This window comes from Homo sapiens, chromosome 17 (assembly GCF_000001405.40).
Source record: "Homo sapiens chromosome 17, GRCh38.p14 Primary Assembly".
Lineage (NCBI taxonomy): Eukaryota > Metazoa > Chordata > Mammalia > Primates > Hominidae > Homo > Homo sapiens.
Genome location: NC_000017.11, coordinates 12,545,639 through 12,565,890, shown reverse-complemented (window position 1 = coordinate 12,565,890; position 20,252 = coordinate 12,545,639). Strand labels below are relative to the sequence as shown.

At 38.9% G+C, this 20,252-nt stretch overlaps 1 long non-coding RNA gene across 2 annotated transcripts in view, besides 1 other annotated feature; it reads right to left on the bottom strand.

The window, feature by feature from the left end:
- The window catches only part of LINC00670 (long intergenic non-protein coding RNA 670), an 87,220-nt gene extending 71,297 nt beyond the window's left edge, over positions 1-15,923 (bottom strand). For both annotated transcript variants that reach the window (NR_034145.1, NR_034144.1), the window contains exon 1: positions 15,814-15,923. This is a non-coding gene — a long non-coding RNA (long intergenic non-protein coding RNA 670). The remainder of the gene's footprint in view (positions 1-15,813) is intronic.
- Positions 19,665-19,959: a silencer, noted in NCBI's record as "tiled region #9419; HepG2 Repressive non-DNase unmatched - State 12:CtcfO, and K562 Repressive non-DNase unmatched - State 13:Ctcf". NCBI's record gives its function as "represses a minimal TATA promoter and a strong SV40 promoter by Sharpr-MPRA in HepG2 and K562 cells {active_cell/tissue: HepG2 | K562}" and the evidence as "EXISTENCE:reporter gene assay evidence [ECO:0000049][PMID:27701403]".

The window sequence follows — 20,252 nt, the reverse complement described above, 5'->3', positions numbered from 1 at the left end:
CAATTTCCCTCTGATGCTCTTTCATTCTCCCACACCCCACACAGCTCAAGACCCAAAGGTGCAGTGTGTGTCTTCAATATGTGTATTACAAATATTTTAATTGCCTTAAAAAAGAAACAGACAGTCTTGTGTGAGGCAGGTGCAGAAACACACTTCAGCAGCCTGCACAGACAGGCCGGGGTTTCTTGTCAAACTGTGTGGCCACTCTCCAGATGAATTATAGTCAATATGAGTTCTCAAAGACCATTCAATTGCAGGAAGTGCTTGTATCATGAAATTTCTCTTTCAGATTTAATAAGCATATAGAATCAATTTCATGCACACTTAAGAAAGATGGAAAGAAGGAAGGCTTTCATTTTTCCTGGTAGGAAGGTTTTCAGGGTATCCTACAATTAAGTAAGTGAAGCAATTTTTCTCTCTCTTCCTAAAAGTTACAAGGTAGGGGAACTATTTCTGCAGGTGATTTCTGCCTCCCACTCAGCTGACATGTTCCTGTGTAGCGAGTTAATCACAGCTAAGGGCAACATAAAAGTCTCTATTGGAAATATAAAAGCACGGTTGTCTTGGGATGACATGAGGATGATGATGATGATGTAGTTTATTGAGCCAGCACCTATTAGGAGTTATTCCAAGTGCTTTATAACTATTAAACCATGTAGTAAGTATTATTATGGCCATTTTACAGTGGAGGAAACTGAGGAAAAGTCAAGTCACTTGCCCAAGAAAAGTCAAGGTCACATTATTGGGAAGTGATAGAGTTGATATTCCATTCCAGGCTACCTGATTCCTGAGAATTCACTCTTTACTACACTATTGAAAGTTAGCATAAAACATAGCATTGTATAAAAACATAGCAATCCAGATATTGTGATAGGTAATTATTTGTATCATTTTTCTAAGGGGTTTATGACTATGCATATTCCTACACTGGTAGGTTTATACAGGTACAAAACTAACTTTTTTTTTTTTTTTTTGAGACAGACTCTCGCTCTGTTGCCCAGGCTGGAGTGCAGTGGTTCGATCTCCGCTCACTGCAGGCTCCACCTCCCGGGTTCACACCATTCTCCTGCCTCAGCCTCCCAAGTAGCTGGGACTACAGGTGCCCACCACCGTGCCCGGCTAACTTTCTGTATTTTTAGTAGGGACGGGGTTTCACCGTGTTAGCCAGGATGGTCTCGATCTCCTGACCTCGTGATCTGCCCGCCTCAGCCTCCCAAAGTGCTGGGATTACACGTGTGAGCCACTGCGCCCGGCCCAAAACTTCTAACTTTCTTGAGGAAGATAGCTGAGAAAATGGAGACTGTATTCAAAAATGTCTTTACAAATCACAAGCTCTCTTGCGTCTACTTTTTTCTTTTTTCCAACTTTCTATACCTGGATTCTCAGCCATGCAATTGATGTGTCAGAGTTTATAGGGGTCTCCATTTGTCAGTTGGTTGCCTCCTTCAGATAGCTGCATCTATTTGCTCCTATGTATGTGTAGCTCAAGTCACCTATCCTGTGAGACCCTAGAAGACATCTCCCGAGAACTTGGTTTTAGAAGGTGACAGAATTTTATAATAAAATTGATTTTTGTTGGAAGAGCTCTTTGACTAGTACTAGTGCACTTGCTTAGATGCCGAATCCTAGTTTTTCAGGTGTTTTGGCTTGGGTCCAAATCAGACCTTCTGGGCTTTATTCTCCAGAGTAAAAGAAGCTGCCAGCACCAGCCTCTCTTCCCTCTTTGAGTAACCAATTTTGAATTTGTGTTTCTACTCTCTGTTAACAACTTTTCTGATGGCGCAAGTTTAATATTTCAATACCTGTTGATAATAATGATTTCCTCCATAAGTGAAATTCTAATGTGGTAAAGCATCTGAATCCAAATGCTCTGGTTTCCAGTGGGAATTGTCCTAATGGCAAATGATGTTGAATATCTTCCCATGTGCTTATTTCTTCCTTCTGTACACTCGCTTTGGTGAGGTGTCTATTCAAATATTTTGCCCATGTTTTGCTTCAGTTAGATGTTTTCTTACTACTGAATTTTGAGAGTTCTTTATACGGTTGGGATACAAGTTCTTTGTCAGGTATGTGATTTTAAAACATTCTTTTCAAGTCTGTAGATTGTCTATTCATCTCTTAGTGTCTGTCTCAGAGCAAAATTTTAATTTTAATGAATTCCAGTATATCATTTTTTTTCTTTTAGGGATTATGGTTTTGGTGTTGTATCTAAGAACTCTTCATCTAACCAAAAGTCATGAAGATTTTTTTTCTGTTTTCTTCTAAAAGTTTTATAGTTTTACATTTAACATTCACATCTATGATACATTTTCAGTTAGTTTTTGAATAAGGTGTGAGATTTAGTTAGACGTTTATTTTCTTGTATATGAATGCTAAATTGTTTCACCACCATTTGTTGACAATACTGTCCTTTTTCTGTTGAATTGTCTTCACATCTTTGTGAAAAATCATTTGTCCATATTTGCGTGGATCTGTTTCTAGACTTTTATTCTATTGCATTGATCATTGTATCTATCTTTTCTCTAATACTACTGTCTTGATTACTGTAGATTTATAACAAAATTTTTGAAATTGAAAAAACAATTTCTTTAACTTTAGTTTTCTTTTTTCAATACTGTTTGGTTATTCCAGTTCCTGTTCCTTCACCTTTTCATATAAATTTTAAAAATCAGCCTGTCTATCAATTGGGATTTTTATCACCATCTCATGAAATCTAAGGATACCTTTACTTAGAAAAAAAAGATAGAGCTAAATCAATAAACACAATCTAAGCTGAGTGAGAGAGAGAAAAAAAGATTGGAAAAATAGAACAGACTCTCAGGGCCTGTGGGACAATAACGAAAATCTCATGTTCATGTCATTGTAGTCCTAGAAGGAGAAGGAGTATGGCGTGGAAAAAAAACTGAAGAAGCAATGGCTGAAAACTTCCCAAGTTTGGAAAAAAAGAAATAAACCTAGAGATATAAGTGTAGAGAACCCCAAACAGAATTAATTAAAGAAATGAGCACTTAGGGGTATCTCAAGTTTCTGAAAACTAAAAACAAAGAAAAAATCTTGAAAGCAACCAGAGAAAAATGGCATACTACTTCTAACTAGAGGAACAAAGATTCAAATAAGAATATATTTCTCTTTAGAAACTATGTAAGCCAAATGGTAGTGGAAATTTTTAAGTGTTAAAGAAAAGAACTATCAACTAAGAAGTCTAGGTCCAGAAAAATTTTCTTCAGAAATGAAGGTGAAAGTAAAACATTCTTACATGAAGAAAAGTTGAGATAAAATTGTCAGGAGATCTACTCTAAACAAATTGCTAAATGAAGCCATTGCAACTGAAGAAAAGAGATACTAGGAAGAAATTTCAAAATATCAAGGATTAAAAGAAGAGGAACAGAAATGGTAAATAACTAGATAAATAAAAGAGATTATTTTTCCTCTTGAGTTTAAAATATATTAAATGGCTAAAAGAAAACAATGACAATATTGTCAGCTGGAGTATTCAATGTATGTAGATATAATATACAAGACAGTTACAACATAAAAGGACCTACATAATGGTAAAGTTTTTACATTCCACTATAAAACTGGACAGTGAGAAAAGGTAAATATGTAGTAATCACACACACACACACACAAAGAAAGAAATATATGTGTAAAATAGAGTAAAAAATACAGTAGATAAGTTAAAATGGAATGCTAAATAATGTAAAAAAAAAAAAAACCCAAAAGAAGATAGGAAAGAGAAAATGAGAAAATAGAGGAACAAAAACCAGAGACTAAACAGAAAACAAATAGTAAAATAATAGATCTAACTTTAAACATAAAGAATTACACTAAATGTACATGATCTAAACATACAAACTAAATAACAGAAATTGTCAAAATATATTTTTTGAATGATCCAATGACATGCTATTTACAAGACTCATTTGCAAAATAATAAGTAAATTAGGCCTTAATAAATAAAAAAGACATACCATAGACTTAAATCTAAGACCTGAAACCTTAAAAATTATAGAAGATAACATTGGAAAAACCCTTCTAGACATTGGCTTAGGCAAAGACTTCATGACCAAGAACCCAAAGCAAATGCAACAAAAACAAATATAAATAGATGGGACTTAATTAAACTAAAAAGCTGCACAGCAAAATAAATAATCAGCAGAGTTAACAGACAACACACAGAATGGGAGAAAATCTTTGCAATCTACACATCCAACAAAGAACTAATATCCAGAATATACAAAGAACTCAAACAGATCAGCAAGAAAAAAACAAACAATTCTATCAAAAAGTAGGCTAAGGACATGAATAGACAATTTTCAAAAGAAAAGATACAAATGGCCAACATGCATATGGAAAATGCTCAACTTACTAATAGTCAGGGAAAATGCAAATCAAAACCAAAATGTGATACCATCTCACTCCTGCAAGAATGGCCACAATAAAAAAATAAAAATGTATATATGTTGGCATGCATGTGGTGAAAAGGGAACACTTTTACACTGTTGGTGGGAATGTAAACTAGTACAACCAGTAAGGAAAAGAGTGTGGAGATTTCTTAAAGAACTAAAAGTAGATCTACTGTATGATCCAGCAATCCCACTAATAGATACCTACCCAGAGGAAAGGAAGTCATTATATGAAAAAGATACTTCCAAACACATGTTTATAGCAGCACAATTTGCAGTTGCAAAAATATGGAACCAGCCCAAATGCCCATCAATCAACAAGTGGATAAAAAAATGTGGTATATATATATACACCATGGAATATTACTCAGCCATAAAAAGAAATAAAATAATAGCATTCACAGCAACCTGGATGAAATTGGAGACCATCATTCTAAGTGAGGTAACTCAGGAATGGAAAACCAAGCATCATATGTTCTCACTCATAAGTGGGAGCTAAGCTATGAGGAGGCAAAGGCATCAGGATGATACAATGGACTTTGGGGCCTCAGGGGAAATGGTGGGAGGGGGATAAAAGACTGCATGTGGGGTACAGTTTACACTGCCTGGGTGATGGGTGCATCAAATCTCAGAAATCACCACTAAAGAACTTATCCATGTAACCAAACACCACCTGTTCCCCAAAAACCTACTAAAATAAAAAAAAATAAAAATAACCCAAACATTAAAACAGAGATCATAAAACAAAAAAAGAAAGAAAGAAAGAAAGGAAGGAAGGAGAGAAAGAAAGAAACGGTATACCGTGGAAACACTGATCAAAAGAAAACTGATCAGACATAGATTTCAGAGTGAATAAGATGACCAGGGATAAAGAGAGACATTATATGATGATATAAGGGTCAGTTCATCATGAAGAAATAATAATCCAATGTATGTGTGTACCTACTGACAACGCTTTCAAAAACATGATGCAAAATTCATGAAAGTGAAAGGAGAAATTTTAAAAATCCACAATTATATTTGGAGAGTTCAACACTCCTCTCTCAGTAATATGCAGAACTTATAAAAAACCAACAAGGATACAGAAGAATTGAGCTGATCATCAACTAAGTAAATCTAAATAGTATTAAAAAATCATTCTACCCATAACAGTGGAACACACAATCTTTTCAGAAGTACATGGAATAGTCAAGGTAGACCATATCTTGTTCATAAAAGAAACATTAACAAAAAGTTAGAATTATGTAAAAAATAAAATCTAAAATCAGACAAAGTATTTTCCTTGAATCATAATAAAAATAAACTAGAAATCAGGAACAGGATAACAGGAAGCATAAGAGAAAAATATCCAAACACTTGGAAATTAAATAACATGCTTCTAAATAATCTGAGTCAAAAAGAAAAAATTAGAAAATAATTTCTATTAAACAAAAATGAAAATAAAATATACCAAAATTTGTGAGCTACAACTAAAGCAGGGCTTAGAGAAAAATTTATAACATTAAAAGCTTATATTAGAAAAGAGATGCCTTATACAAGTTATCTAAGCTTCCATCTTAAGAAGAGCAAAATAAACTCAAACAAAAATAAGAAAATAAATAATATAGTGGTAGAAATAGAGAAAATTGAAAACAGAAAAATAATAGAGAAATTCAAAGAAACCCAAATCTGGTTCTTTAAAAAGATCAATAAAATCCATAAACTTTCAGCAAGGACAAAGACAAAAAGAAGGCAAGAATAAATTGCCAGTATCAGGACTGAAAGAGGTTATCCCTACAGACCCCACTGGCATTTAATAATAATAGGGGAATATAGGGGATACTGTGAATAATTATATACACACATTTTTGACAAGTTAGGCAAAAGGGATCAATTCCTTGAAAAACACAAATTACCTAAACTCACTCAAAATGTAATAGACAACTTAAATAGCCCTATAACTGAATTTGCAGTTTAAGACTATCTGACAAAATTCTCCAGGCCCATGTTATTTATGAATAATTTTATTAAACATTTTAAAAGAACATCAATTCTACAATATCTCTTCTAAAATGTAGAAGAGAAAACACTTCCCAACTCAATTTATGAGATCATCATAACTCTGATTCTAAAACCAGACAAGTAGAAGAAGGAAAGAGAGGAAGGAAGAAAAGGAGGAAGGGAGGAAGAGAGGAAGGAAGGAAGGAAGGAATGCGGGTGGGGAAGGGAGGGAGGGAGAGAGGGAAGAAGGGAGGGAGGGAGGGAGGGAGGGAGGGAGGAAGGAAGGAAGGAAGGAAGGAAGGAAGGAAGGAAGGAAGGAAGGAAGGAGAATCTATAGACTGGGCCAGGCGTGGTGGCTCATGCCTCTAATCCCAGCACTTTGGGATGCTGAGTTGCACAGTCACTTGAGCTCAGGAGTTTGACACCAGCCTGGGTAACATGGCAAAACTCTGTCTCTGCGAAAATTACAAAAATTAGCTGGGCATGGTAGTGCGTGCTTGTAGTCCTAGCTACTCAGGAGGCTGAGGTGGGGGGAGTGCTTGAGCCTGGGAGGTTGAGGCTGCAGTGAGCTGTGATTGTGCCACTGCACTCCACTCCAGCTTAGGTGACAGTGTGAGACTCTGTCTGAAAAAAAAAAAAAAAAAAAAGGAAACTATTGACTAATATCCCTCATAAGCATAGATGCACAAATTCTGAATTTTTTAAAAAAGCGGATTTGTTCAACAATGTGTAAAAAAATAAAGAATGCACTGCAACTATATGAAGTTTATCTTGGAAATGTAAGTATAAGTCGATATTCAAAAATCAGTCAATGTAATCCACCACAATAGCAGTCTCAAGAAGGAAAATCATATGATCATTTCAATTGATATAGAAAAGCCATTTAACAAAATTCGACATCCCTTCATGATATTAACTATCGGCAAGCTAGGAACAGAAAAGAACTTTCTCAGTCTGATAAAGAACATCTAAAAAAATTCACTAAACTAACATAATAAGTAATGGTTGAAACACTTAATGCTTTTCCCAGAAGATCTGGAGTAAGGAAAGTGATGTCCTCTTCCTTTCGCAGTACACTGCATGTCCTCACTAGTGCAATGGCAAATAACGAACAGGAAACATGGGAGCTTTAGGTCTCAAATGACATAGAGACATAATGAAGTAAAGCAACTGATCAATGGAGGAAATTCTTCTGAATGAAAGGAAAATAATGAAAATATGCAAGGCATTTGAATGTGCTCTGATTATTTTTTTCCTGCGGAAGAAAAAATTTTATAGGGTATTCCATATTTAAGAGGTTATTGATAGAAAGTAGAAATAAAGGAGTTAAATTCTTTTCTGTGATTTTCAGAAATGTAATGCTATAAGTTTCATGAAGTAAACGTCTAAGGAATGAAAGAATTAAAAAGTACCATAAATAGGAAATAAAAGGAACAAAAAGTTCTTGTTTTAAATCAGTATAAACTACAGAAGGAAAGGATTAAGATTTCTTGTTAGGATTGGTGGGAAAGGTGATTACTTGTATCTAGAAAATTAGATTTGTATATCTTGCTCTAAACTTTTAAAAATGTAATGCTATGGTAACACTAGTGTTATGCTTTGCTGATTAGATAAACTCAAAAGCTCTATTTTTGATAGAAAAAAATAATTGAGTACAAAATCACGATTGTCTATGTTCCTTTCTTAAATACTCTTAGGGGATGTTCAGCTTTTGGCACCAAAGTGGTTGAATGCAGTGGTTAAGACCTAGTTCTTTTTTTGGTTGGAATTCTGGCCCCAGTGATGACTGTGTGACCTTGGACAAGTTACCTAACCTTGTGTTTCAATTTCCAAAGCTGTAAGCTGCAGAAAATAGTAATAAGGCCTACCTTATAGGTTGTTAGAGGAATGAAGTAGGTAACTGTAAAATGTCTAGAATAGTTTCTGGCATAAAATAAAGGTAGATGCTGGCTATCAACTGTCACCATTATCGTCCACCTGGTGACACATTATCTGAATTGAAGACATAGTCCCTAGGGAAGAAAATAACAAAATTGTACTTTGAAAACCCATAGTTTTATTATGATGGTATATATACCATAGATAATATTTCTCGCTTCTAGAACTGTGCCTGAGTATTCAATGGGAAGCCAAATTAGAAATAGGGAGAAATTACATTAAGAACACAGATTTTGAGGGAAACCAAGCATTTTCTGCTAGCTGAAGAAAGGACTTATCTGCCCCATACCCACAAGCTCTTAATTCTGTTACTCTTTTGAAAAAATAGAATATTGATCTAATAATTCAGATCCCAGAATACTGGGGTTGGCCACTTTTACTAGGACTGAAAGTTCAGGATGTGTGGGAATCCGTTTTCTCTGTCTTCTTCCAAACACTGCCTTTTATTTTCCCTTTTGCAGACACCACACTTTCTACAACAACCTTGAGTACGTGGTTGGGTCAGCTACTCTATAGGTTTGGGGCACATGTACTCACTGTCTGTAACAGAGACTGGCTAAGAGTTCTCCAAGACACTTCTCTTTCTCTCCTGTGCACATAGCGAGGTGCCTCTCTTATAACAAAGGGTTGTCCTGTGGCTGGATTCTTGAATGTGGTCTCAAGTGATCTATACTATCTCAACCCCAGCATTGCTCCATGATACATCTTTCCTTCCATTCATGGGTGGCCTCCAGAACCTTAAAAGATGGGGGAGTCACTAGAAGAATTATAGATCCCTGAAACACTGCATGGAGAAGAGTCCTCTTCTACCAACTCATACATCGTATTTTGATGTGAGAAATCAGCCTTAATCCTGCTTAGCTGTAACTCTTTGATATAGAGCCGCCCTATCCTAAGTAAAAGACACTGTTATTCTCTGTCTTTCTGGGGGCTTTTTCTTTGGCACTACAGAATGTAATTTTTACTTAACGGGAGTAGCAAGTTTTGAGACCTTAGGTTGTGCTTTGGTGGTAAGACATATGGTAGCTGGGGCTAGGTAAAGCATTTTACATAATCCAGCCCAGCTTCTGGGAGCTCTAGATAAATATTTTGGGCCAGAGGACAAGCTAAAAATAGTTGCTTTGTTTTTCCTCGCCACTGTTCCCTATTCATTTTTTCCCCTTAAAAGATGGCACCCCTGAGATGAAGGAAATTCAATTATTTAAAGGCCCTTTGGACTAGATGCCATCTTAATGTAGCATCCCCTTAGAGCAATCTACTGTTGTTATTATTTTAACAACAAATATGTAAAGAAGTAGAAAAACAACAGTCAGGTGCTTTAGGCAGGTACACTCAAAATAAAGAAGTTTAAATTAAGACACCTTATAGTTGGATACAATTGAATCTTTTCACTGATACTAGAAAGAAAGTCTATGCTAGACACTGGAGTAAGTACAATGAATAACACGATTTGGTTTCTTCTTCGTAGGAGTCAGGTGTAAGGATTGGGGGAAAAAAAAACAAGAAAACAACATCGCATAAAATAGAAAATAAAATAAGTGTAACTGATCGTAAGGAGTTTTGAGAACCATTAAAGCAATCAGATACAGATAGGAGTTTATAAAAAGCATTGCCCTGGCTGTCTAAGAATGGATACATGGTAGTTTCAGTAGTTAAAAGGGGCAGAAGCCCCTACGTGAAAGTACTGGACAATGAGATTTTTCAGTCCCTTTAAGGAGTGGTCCTGTGATTCTTTCCTTCTTTGGGGTGCCCCAGTCAAAACGTGGTAATTAGCACTGCGTAGACTCCTCTGTGTTCATCCCCAGGGTAAAAATGGAAATGAATCATGGATTAGATTTATAGCCACTGAATTTATTGAGCAAGGCCCAAGTTCTTGTTCTAAGTTAAGATCCCTCCTCACCTAAATAAGAGTAAAATGGAAATAATCGCCTTGAGATTCAAATCGGGAGTGAGTTGGAGTTGGTTACCTGTCTACTGGTTCTACAAACAGTGAAAATAACTTCGTATCAGACCAAAGTCAAGATAACTGATTCAATGATGCTTATAGAATCTGTTATTGTTGCTGAATCTTTTCCCTAACATTATCTTCAATTCCTGGTGGTGGTGGTGGTGATGATGATGATAATGATAAGTTAATGATGATGAAGGTAGCATAATAAAAATAACTACTCTTTATTGAGCTATTACTATTGCTACAGCATTGCTTCCCGAATTTGCCTGAAAACAAGAACTTCTTAACTATGCTTGCTGAACACATGGACTCCCAGGCTGCAACTCAAATCTACTCTATTACAATTCCTAGTGGATAAATTTGGGAAGGTTGGGGAACAGTATGCCAGGCTGGCTAGGTGCTCAGTACTTTTCATTGATTATGATAGTTGATTCCCACAACAATTTTATGAGGTAGATTCTATGATTAATCCTATCACATAGATGAGAACCCTGAGGCATAGAGAAGTTAAGTGACTTGCTTATGCCAAAAACTTTGGATAGGATTTTCTTCAGGCACATTCACTAGAGTTCTATGCCTGACGCTGAATTCCAACAGAAGCCCTTACAGGCTTAGCTGGCTTCCAGTGAAGCTTACAGGAAATTCCCAATTGCTTGGTGTTCCTATGCAGGGAAGACTATTCCAGTTTGGAACCTTGTTCCATCCTTCTTGGTTCCTGAAGGATTCGCTCCTGTGCTTCTTCTTTCCTTTCCAGCATTTCAAGTCACTCCCTGTCCACAGGGTCCTTCCTCTCCACCTTGAGTAATTACTAAGATTTCAGAGAGTTTGCACTTTAGGAAGGGACATAAGTCTCACAATAAGTGCCACTGAAGAGGTGCAGAGACAGAAAGTGCTGTGAAAATTTGGAAAAGATAAACAATTCCTGCTCTGGAATATCAGAGATGGCGTGGCATGGCCCAATTCACTCGTGCAAATTCTGAGATATTGGTAGGTTTTCCACTGGCAGAGGTGAGGTGAGCTCACCAAAAAAAAATATTTTCTTCCTTTTCTCTACTGTGCAAATTGGGTCTTTGTGACTTAGTCCAAGTAGGGGAAAATAAATCTTAGCCCCATGATGGTTTAGCAGTCTAAGTCATCTGTTTCAAAATAGGATGGAATTACAACCAGCTGGTAGTAATTTTCAAATCCTGACCCCTGCAGAAAGGGGTGAGAATTCACCAGAAAGTCCATTTCTTCTCCAGGGCACCAAGCTGCATTTCCCTCAGTGGGTGACATGGATGCGAAGGGGCTTTTTGCTTTTATTTTTAATTTTGTTAGTAACCGCAAGCCACACGGTTCCAGTATTTTGAATACAGCATTTATAAGTTAAAAGCAGAAGAAGGGTACAGAATGTGCCATATTTTCTAGTTCATTGTTCCATGTCCATAAAACAAAAACACTTTTAAAAGGCAAATTTTACATTCTTCAAGGTAGCAGCAGCAGTAGTACTGTTCTCTCTGCCATTTACAGTGAAGGGTAAAACTTAAGCTGTTTGGACACGCCATCAATCTTACTCATCCCTGCAGCAGCACAGGGGAACCAACAGTCCTTTCCATTTCTAATATTTAACAGTTCTTAGTTATGAATAGGCAACCCCATGCTTTTCACCACCTGTTATAAGCCGAATCGTGTCCATCAAGGAGACTGATAGAAGTTCTAAGCCCCAGTACCTGTGCATGTGACTTTATTTGGAAATAGGGTCTTGGGAAATTTAACCAAGTTAAGATGACATCATCAGTGTGGGCCCCAATCCAAGGGGCTTTGTGAAGACAGAGACATAGTGAGAATGCAGTGTGAAGATGGAGGCAGAGACCCGAGTGATGTGTCTGCAAGCCAAGGGGCATCAAGGAGTCCTGGTCATCCCCAGAAGCTGGAGGAAGGCATGGATCAGATTCTCCCTCAGAAAGAATCAACCCTTCAAACACTGAATGCAGCCTTCTGGCCTCCAGACTGTGAAGAAACAAATTTCTGCTTTTTTTTGAGACCGAGTCTTGCTCTCTGGCACAGGCTGGAGTGCAGTGGCGCAATCTCGGCTCACTGCAAGCTCCGCCTCCCAGGTTCACGCCATTCTCCTGCCTCAGCCTCCCGAGTAGCTGGGACTACAGGCGCCCGCCACTGCGCCCGGCTAATTTTTTGTATTTTTAGTAGAGACGGGGTTTCGCAGTGTTAGCCAGGATGGTCTAGATCTCCTGACCTCGTGATCCGCCTGCCTCAGCCTCCCAAAGTGCTCGGATTACAGGCATGAGCCACCGTGCCCGGCTAATTTCTGCTGTTTTAAGCCACCCAATTAGTGATACTGCCTCACAGCAGCCCTTGAAAATTAATACACCACCTTTACGAAAACTGTTCACAAAGGAACTCTGTGTAACATTACACATAAAATGTAACAAAAACACTTAATATGACAACTGTTGTAAATATGAAAAATATTATCACATGAAAGATAGTGGGAGATGTTATAGAGTTCACTGCCAGGTTACTTTGATGGAGAAAGAAAGAGATTGCTCACAGTGAAGTTTGGTTCATCTTTGGAAAGGACCTGAGAGATGGTCTGATCCGGGAGTGGGCAAACTAGGGCCCGTAGGCCAAAAGCGGCTGACGGGGCATGATTGTACAGACCCTGAGCTAAGAATAGCTTTTACATTTTTGAAATGTTCTTGAATGTGGGCCCATCTCTTTTTTCCTTCTATCCAGAGGTTTCCAGAGCCACTAGAAGGAAGGATTTTTAGATCCCCAAAAGATTATGTGGCATAGACAACCTAACCCCCTACTCACACTTTACTGTGATGTGAGAAATACGTTTTGATTGTTTAGGCACTGAGATTTCTGTTACACACAGGTAAGGGTTTTGTGTTATAATAGTTACCATAATACTATTCTACCCTAATAGATGCTGTTATTCTCTATCTAAGCCTAACTCAACCCTAATTCTAATAAAACCGGAAGAATATGCAGTGGACAACCACGTGTGGCCTGCAAACCTGAAAATATTTGCTAGTTGGTCCTTTACAAAAAAAAAAAAGTTTGCCAACCCTTGGCCTAGTCCAGTGATTTATAACATTATTATTATTATTCAGTGAGAAATACTTAATTTTGTTAAAAAAGAGAGAGAGAGAGATAAATAAAACAGAGAAAAACGCTTCTGCTCTTCCTAATGAAGCAGGGTCTGCAGTCTTGAATTCTCCCACTCAACTATCTTAGTTGCCCCTGACCTAATAGAGATCTTGGGTTCCACTGATAATCGTGATAGTGATATTGGCAACAATCAATTGAGTATGCATAGTGTTTCACAACACTACTAAACATGTCCCAGACACTCTTGAATTTCATCTTCCAATTAATCAGGTGAGGGGTGTGCTATTAGCCCCATCTTTATACATGAAGACACTGGAGTTTAGAGAGATTAAATTAGTTGACCTACATCTGGTAAATGGCAAAGACAGAATTCATATCACTGGCCCTCTGGCTCCCATACCGCTAACTATGCCCATTTAGCTCTGTTCTTATGTGGTCCTACCTCCTCATTGAGGGCCCTAAGGTTCAGAGAGGTGAAGGAATATGTCTAAAGTCTCAGGCTAGTTGGTCATTGATTGGGTCTGGAGTTCAGGTCTCCTGACTTCCCATGCGATGCCCTTTCCACTGTCCCATTCGGGCTCAATTGTCCTGGCAGAATGTGGGTTGAGAAAGACATAGACCAAACTGGCTCTGGGACTGGAGGGTAGGCAGGTGCAGGGGTGGAGGTCCCACATTCTCATTCTCATGCTCATCAGCTGGATGGGCCAGAGAAAAAGGTTTATTTAGCTTGGGACTGGTGGACCATTCTCTCTCCCGCAGTTTCCTCTCATTGTCCTTGCTCACAGAAGTGGTATCTCCCTCAGCAAAACCCCTCAGTGGCCTCACATCTCAGGAGAGGCCCCACGCGTATTCTGTTCTCCAACAACTGCTGGCCATCGTCAACCAGATCTATTTCTCACATTGGCTTAGCCTGCCTTTCTCTAACTTTGCTCCTCATCCCTTTCTTCTGACTCCATTTTGTCCCCTGGGTTACAAGCTTGGATCCATCTTCTGATTCAGACTCTAGATCCTCAAGAATCTGCCTCTCCTTGCTAGCACCTGAGAACTGCCTTGACTGAAGTTGGCTGATTGCTTCTTAACTCACCACTCAGCATCATTATACCCAGATTTTACCCAGAAGGATGCATTTCCAGGAAACTCATCCCAGTTTCATACTTGGGACCAGTAGCTCCCTCTTTCCCTGTGATATGTTTACCTTCTCCTCTGTGGGATGCACTCTATGTGTCAACTGCATCAACACTATTATGGTTGCCGATAGTATTAAGCTAATGGCTTTCAAGGACAGAAGTTTGTACTAGTGGTAAAAAAAACAATAATAGTGTAACTAATTCATTGAACACTTTATACACATATTACCTTGTGAGGTAAGTACTATTATCATCTCCATGTTGCAGGTGGGGAAACTGAGGCACAGAAAGACAACTTGTCCAAGGACACAGAGCCCAGAAACATGGAACCAGACTTGGAACCTTCATATAAAGGTGCAGTCACCTTTGCTGGCTTCCTACTGTATGTCAGGCCTTCCTCTTGGTGCTTCATACAAGTGGTGGGAAATTCTTGGGAGATATTTGCCCATATGTTTTCCTTGGTATTTCCCGTGTTTCTCCCCATTAGGCAGCTAGGCCTTCTGTAAAGCTTCAGGGAAGGGAAAACCAGTGAAACAAAGATAACAGAGGAGTCATATTTTTAGCTTTTGAGTCTCAAATGGCAGGTTCTGGTCATAAACTAAAGATTTGGAAGATTAAATGAAAAGCTGGGAAACTTTTTCTCCAGACCAGACAAGACTTTTCAAATTTGAGAAGGAGATCCAGGGAAGCCAAGAAACCTGACGTGATGGTTGAGTTCCCAGGAAGGAGTCCTAGCGTGTAGCACCTGCCTGCAGCCTGGCTAACCGGCAGGGCAATGGTGGAACATCCAGGCAGGGCTGAAGGTGGAAAGCTACATGGATCTGACATCCATGTAGATGTCATGTAGGTTTTGATGAGAGCATCTTGCTTTGACTGAGATTACATCTCCACGATGAAGCCAAATAGGGATTCAAAATAGAAACTAAGTCGAGTTATAAAAATATAAAAAGAAAGTTGCTTTTCTTACACAGCTGAGTTTTGGGGCACATATGTACCCACACATTCATTATCTCTATTCTGCACAATGACCTGTGGAGTTATTTTTTATCATCCCCATATTATAGCATTTGATTACAGAGTGGAAAAATTACTTGCCCAGGGGACACAGCTAATAAGTAGAAGAAAAAGTACATTAGGAGAAAAGTGGAAAATAAACAATGAAGGAAAAAGAAAAATAAAAGAAGTAGTGAGAAATAGGTAGAGATCGCAAGGCATAACCTCCGAGTCACAATTCTCCCGGAAAGAACATTTCTCTTTATTCTCCAAAAAAGTGAACATTTTATCAGGATATACTTACATTTTATTTGGAGGAATAGTCATTTCCTTGATCCCTTTTCCCGAAGATCTAGCTTGGGACCAGACGTTGTGAAAATGTAGCCAGCCTCCACGAAGGAGTTATTTCAACTGTGTCGTCGCTGCAAAAAAATTACATGTGAATCAGAGTTCTATCATGGAAATTATGCTTTGGGACAAATATGTTATGAATGACGGCTCATAAAATCATGCCAGTATGTATGCTATCACCGCATTCAATTATTTTAACCTGCTGTGAACTTGCTTGTGATAAATCATGGGAAAACTAAAGAGAACTATCTTAAGCCACTGCACTGTTTCACTCGCTCAAGTCATTCACGGCTCTAAAAATACAATTTATATCATTGGATTCCTGAAATTCTTTCAGTGCTTACATTCTGATTTAAGTGGCATTAAAGCTAGGGCGATTAAGCTGAGAAGTCCAAGGCTACCGAGCAATGTCCCCCCGGGGTATTAGCTGTCTATCAGATCGAGAACACTGTTTATCAGACTCCCAGGAAGAAAGCAATTAGAACGTGGCCTGTGGGTTGGAAAAAGGCTTGAGATTCTCAGCCTGAAAAAGGAAGGATCTTTCAATAACAGCAAGTGTGACACTTTTGGTGGGACTCATCTAGAGTAGGGTGATCATAAAATTTAATAACCATCTTAGAACATTTTGGGACTTGATGGGGAGACCATTAACATTGACATCAGGAATAAAGTAGGACTGTTTTTTCAAACACACAACACACAGCTGTTTTTTCAAACACAAACAGAGAAGGATTTAATAAGGGACTAATAAGAAAAATGAAGTTGAATCTCCTTCATGTTTAAGGACCACTTCTTAAATCCCTTCTCCATGGACCATCTGGAGAAAAAAGTGGGTTCTTTACCTGCATTTTCTCCACAGTCCTGACATTATTCTTCATATACCTTGGGGAACACAGAGCTGCTGGTACTGCTCATACAAGCTACTGCACGGTATTTGTGCACAAGCAAAAAGCGGACTGGGTTAGGTTTGAATGCGTCGCTTTTATAAACACAGAGTTAGGAGATGTGAGACATGAAGTTATGGAGTTACAGCGTGATTGTGAGAAAACGCCTCCCTGGGAAAGAACCAAGGCACTGTGAATCAAGTATTGTGGACAGTAACTTCTCCAGGCTCAATTTCCTCCACCAGTAAAATTAGGTAGCTAGACTAGACCCGTGATTTCTAATCCAGGCAGCATATTAGGGTCACCTGGAGAATGTACCAATGTCCTCGCCCACTCCAAGAGATTTTATTTAATTAGGCTGGGATGAGGCTCCCCCAGGGACTCTGACGTGCAGCCTGGGCTGAGAACTGCTGGAAGACTGGAATGTTTCTGAGGTCTCTACCGACTTTTATTGGGCAGCCTCTGTGATGGTCTGAGCTTTTGGGAAAATTAAAAAGGAAGGGGCAAGAGTGATCCATTACCATTGGCATTGGCTGGTTACAGTTGGAATTGTTCAGATGCAATGTTTACTAGGATGCTTTGTGGAGTTTTCTACCCTCTGTCTCATGGCTGGGGACAAACCACCAGTAAATTACATTCCCTCCTAGGAATACAGAGAATATGGCCTGGGTATGGAAAGAAGCCTAGTAAGTCTTGAGCAAGTTTCTATGTAGCTGATGTCCTCAACATGATAATGTAATTAAAAATATATAAAGCTCTTCCTGGGGTGCCAGTTTCATGCCCTGCATTGACCAGGGCCAGATTTCAAAGTGGACGTGAGTCTTTCTAGGTCAAACGTTTATTCCACCATTGAGGCACTTCTCACATAATGCTTTGGGATACTGCCTGTGACACAAGTGACTTGGAAAACAATTATGGATGTAAAAAATGTGATGAGAAAACCCTCCTCATCAACCATACTCCAGGGATTTCTGGATTTGATTACCAGCTTTCCAATGCTTGACGATTTGACTGGTATTTAATGCTTTCTCATTTTTCCTGATAGGGACCACTAAGCACGTTATGTTCTTTCTCCCAGTTGGCAACTCAACAAAGGCCAGCCATAAAAATCTCCACTTGTGTAATAAACTGTTGTACGATCTACTGCTTATGAACAAGGTCCCTGACTGAAAATGTGCAACCTTTCTGCACGTTAAACACAAAACAGATGGAGGTTTGAAAATAACTTTCTTCTTCACGGGAGGGAAAAGTTAAAGGAGGGAGAGTAAAACTCATGGTCAGAGGCCTAACTTCCCAAGCCAGGGGCTGAACTCTCCATCCAGGTTGACAGGGACAGCCGCATTCTTTCAAGGATACTGCCTACCGTCAGGGACCTGGGAAGTAGGAGGACGGTTAGGCTTTAGGAAAATGGTGCGTACAATCATGGATAGTGAGGCCGGCTGAGCTGCTACTTACTAGCTGGATAAATGAGCCAAGTCACTAATTTCTTTGAATCTGTTGTTTAAGCCTCATGTGTAAAATGGTGATAACCTAGAGCTCTAGACCCCAAGCACACTGGGGAATGGAGTAGCTGAAAATGTAAATACTCTCCTCGTTACTATTGTTTTCAATTTTCTTTTGTTTATTTGCTGGTTTTACGTGTGTAAAAAAACCAAATTACATATTCCTGGGACAGAAGAAATGGCGAAGCCAATCATTTGTAAACGATGTAGGAATGCATGCAGGTATGCAGAAATTAATATATGTCTATTTATTTGCTTATAGTTTGTCCTGTTTTCACAGAAGGAAATTGAGGTAGTTAACAAGGATACTCATTTATCATGTACTGGTTAATAGTATATAATTTTATTTGTGGAAATGACAGAGTTTGGTCATTAAAGGAAATTGAAACTTCATCTCAGAATAATAAAAGCACTGCCTTCCATTTGTGGGATGCTCCTGAGAGCAGTAAACATGCTCCCCCTATTGTAAAGTATAGATATTAAAGTCTTTATAAAATGTCCTGACATCTACAGGAGGTTTTCTTCAAAAAAGAGAATCATGTGAAGCGCTGAATGAGATATCTTCTTCACTTTTTTTATTTTTATTTTTATTTTTATTTTGAAACAGAGTCTAGCTCTTGTTGCCCAGGCTGGAGTGCAATGGCACAGTCTCGGCTCACTGCAACCTCCACCTCTCGAGTTCAAGTGATTCTCCTGCCTCAGCCTCCTGAGTAGCTGGGATTACAGGCACACGCCACCACGCCCAGCTAATTGGTGTATTTTTAGTAGAGATGGGGTTTCACCATGTTGGCCAGGTTGGTCTTGAACTCCTGAGCTCAGATGATCTGCTTGCCTCGGCCTTCCAAAGTGCTGGGATTACAGGTGTGAGCCCCCGCACCTGGCCTGAATGAGAAATCTTCTAAAGGAGTAAGATGCCACAAGAATGGGGTGGGAAGACTGGACTTTTAACTGGTTTTGTCAGTCAGGATACAGTGAGAGAAAGAGAAACGATATCGGGAATTTCGAACACGCAGGATTTAATACAAGAATGATTCCTCAGGTGTTGGTAGACTGGAAGCACAAAAGGAATACTGAGGAAGTTTGGTTATTCAGTTTCCTTTAATAACCAAACAGTCATTTCCACAAATAAAATTATATGCTATTAAGCAGTATATGATAAATGACTATCCTTATAAACTACCTCAATTTCCTTCTCTGAAAACAGGGCAAACTTTAAGAAAATAAATAGGCATATATTAATTTGTACATACATGCATGCATCCCTACATCATTTATAAATTATTGGCCCTGTCATTTCTTCTGTCCCAGGAATTAGATATGAAATTTGCTACTACCCCTGAGCTGACGCAACAAAAGAAAAAAGATGCAAGTTGTTGAGGCAATGGTGCTCAGATCTCTGAGGAAGGGGCATAGCCACTGCTGATGGCGGCTCTACAGGACATAGAAGGTTCTGGAAGCTCCAGAAAAGCCCAGTTCCAGGCAGCTGCCTCTCTCTGAGCAACACTAAATTCGAAAAGTAGGAGTCCATTCTCTCTCTAGCACCACCTATTGGCAGAACGTAAGAAGTCAGCAGATGAGGGCGTAGGCTGCAGAAGGATGGGTATGGAGCTGAGAGGCAAGAGGGCATGACTGGTGCACGGGGGCGGGTGTTAGCTGGAGACACTCATGGAGTAGGATGGCGGGCAACATCCATGAAAAATAACTGAGACAGATGCAAAAGGAAAATAAGCTCTATGGCCACATTTTCCCAGAAGCGAGAAAGAAGCAAGTGAGAAACCAATTGAATGCTATTGCAAAACGGACCGCACTGATGCCCAAAGAAAGCTCATTCTCCCCTAACAAACTCTTCCACAATTGTTTAGTGAGTGGGAGAAAATTAGCGAAGATAACAGAGCTACTTAAGTGGTAGTGATTCTTTTCCACAATTCACATATTTACCCAATAGTCCCAGGTGTTTTACTCTGCTCTGCGTAGCTGCCAGCCAGAGCACTGCAGCCAGTGACTGG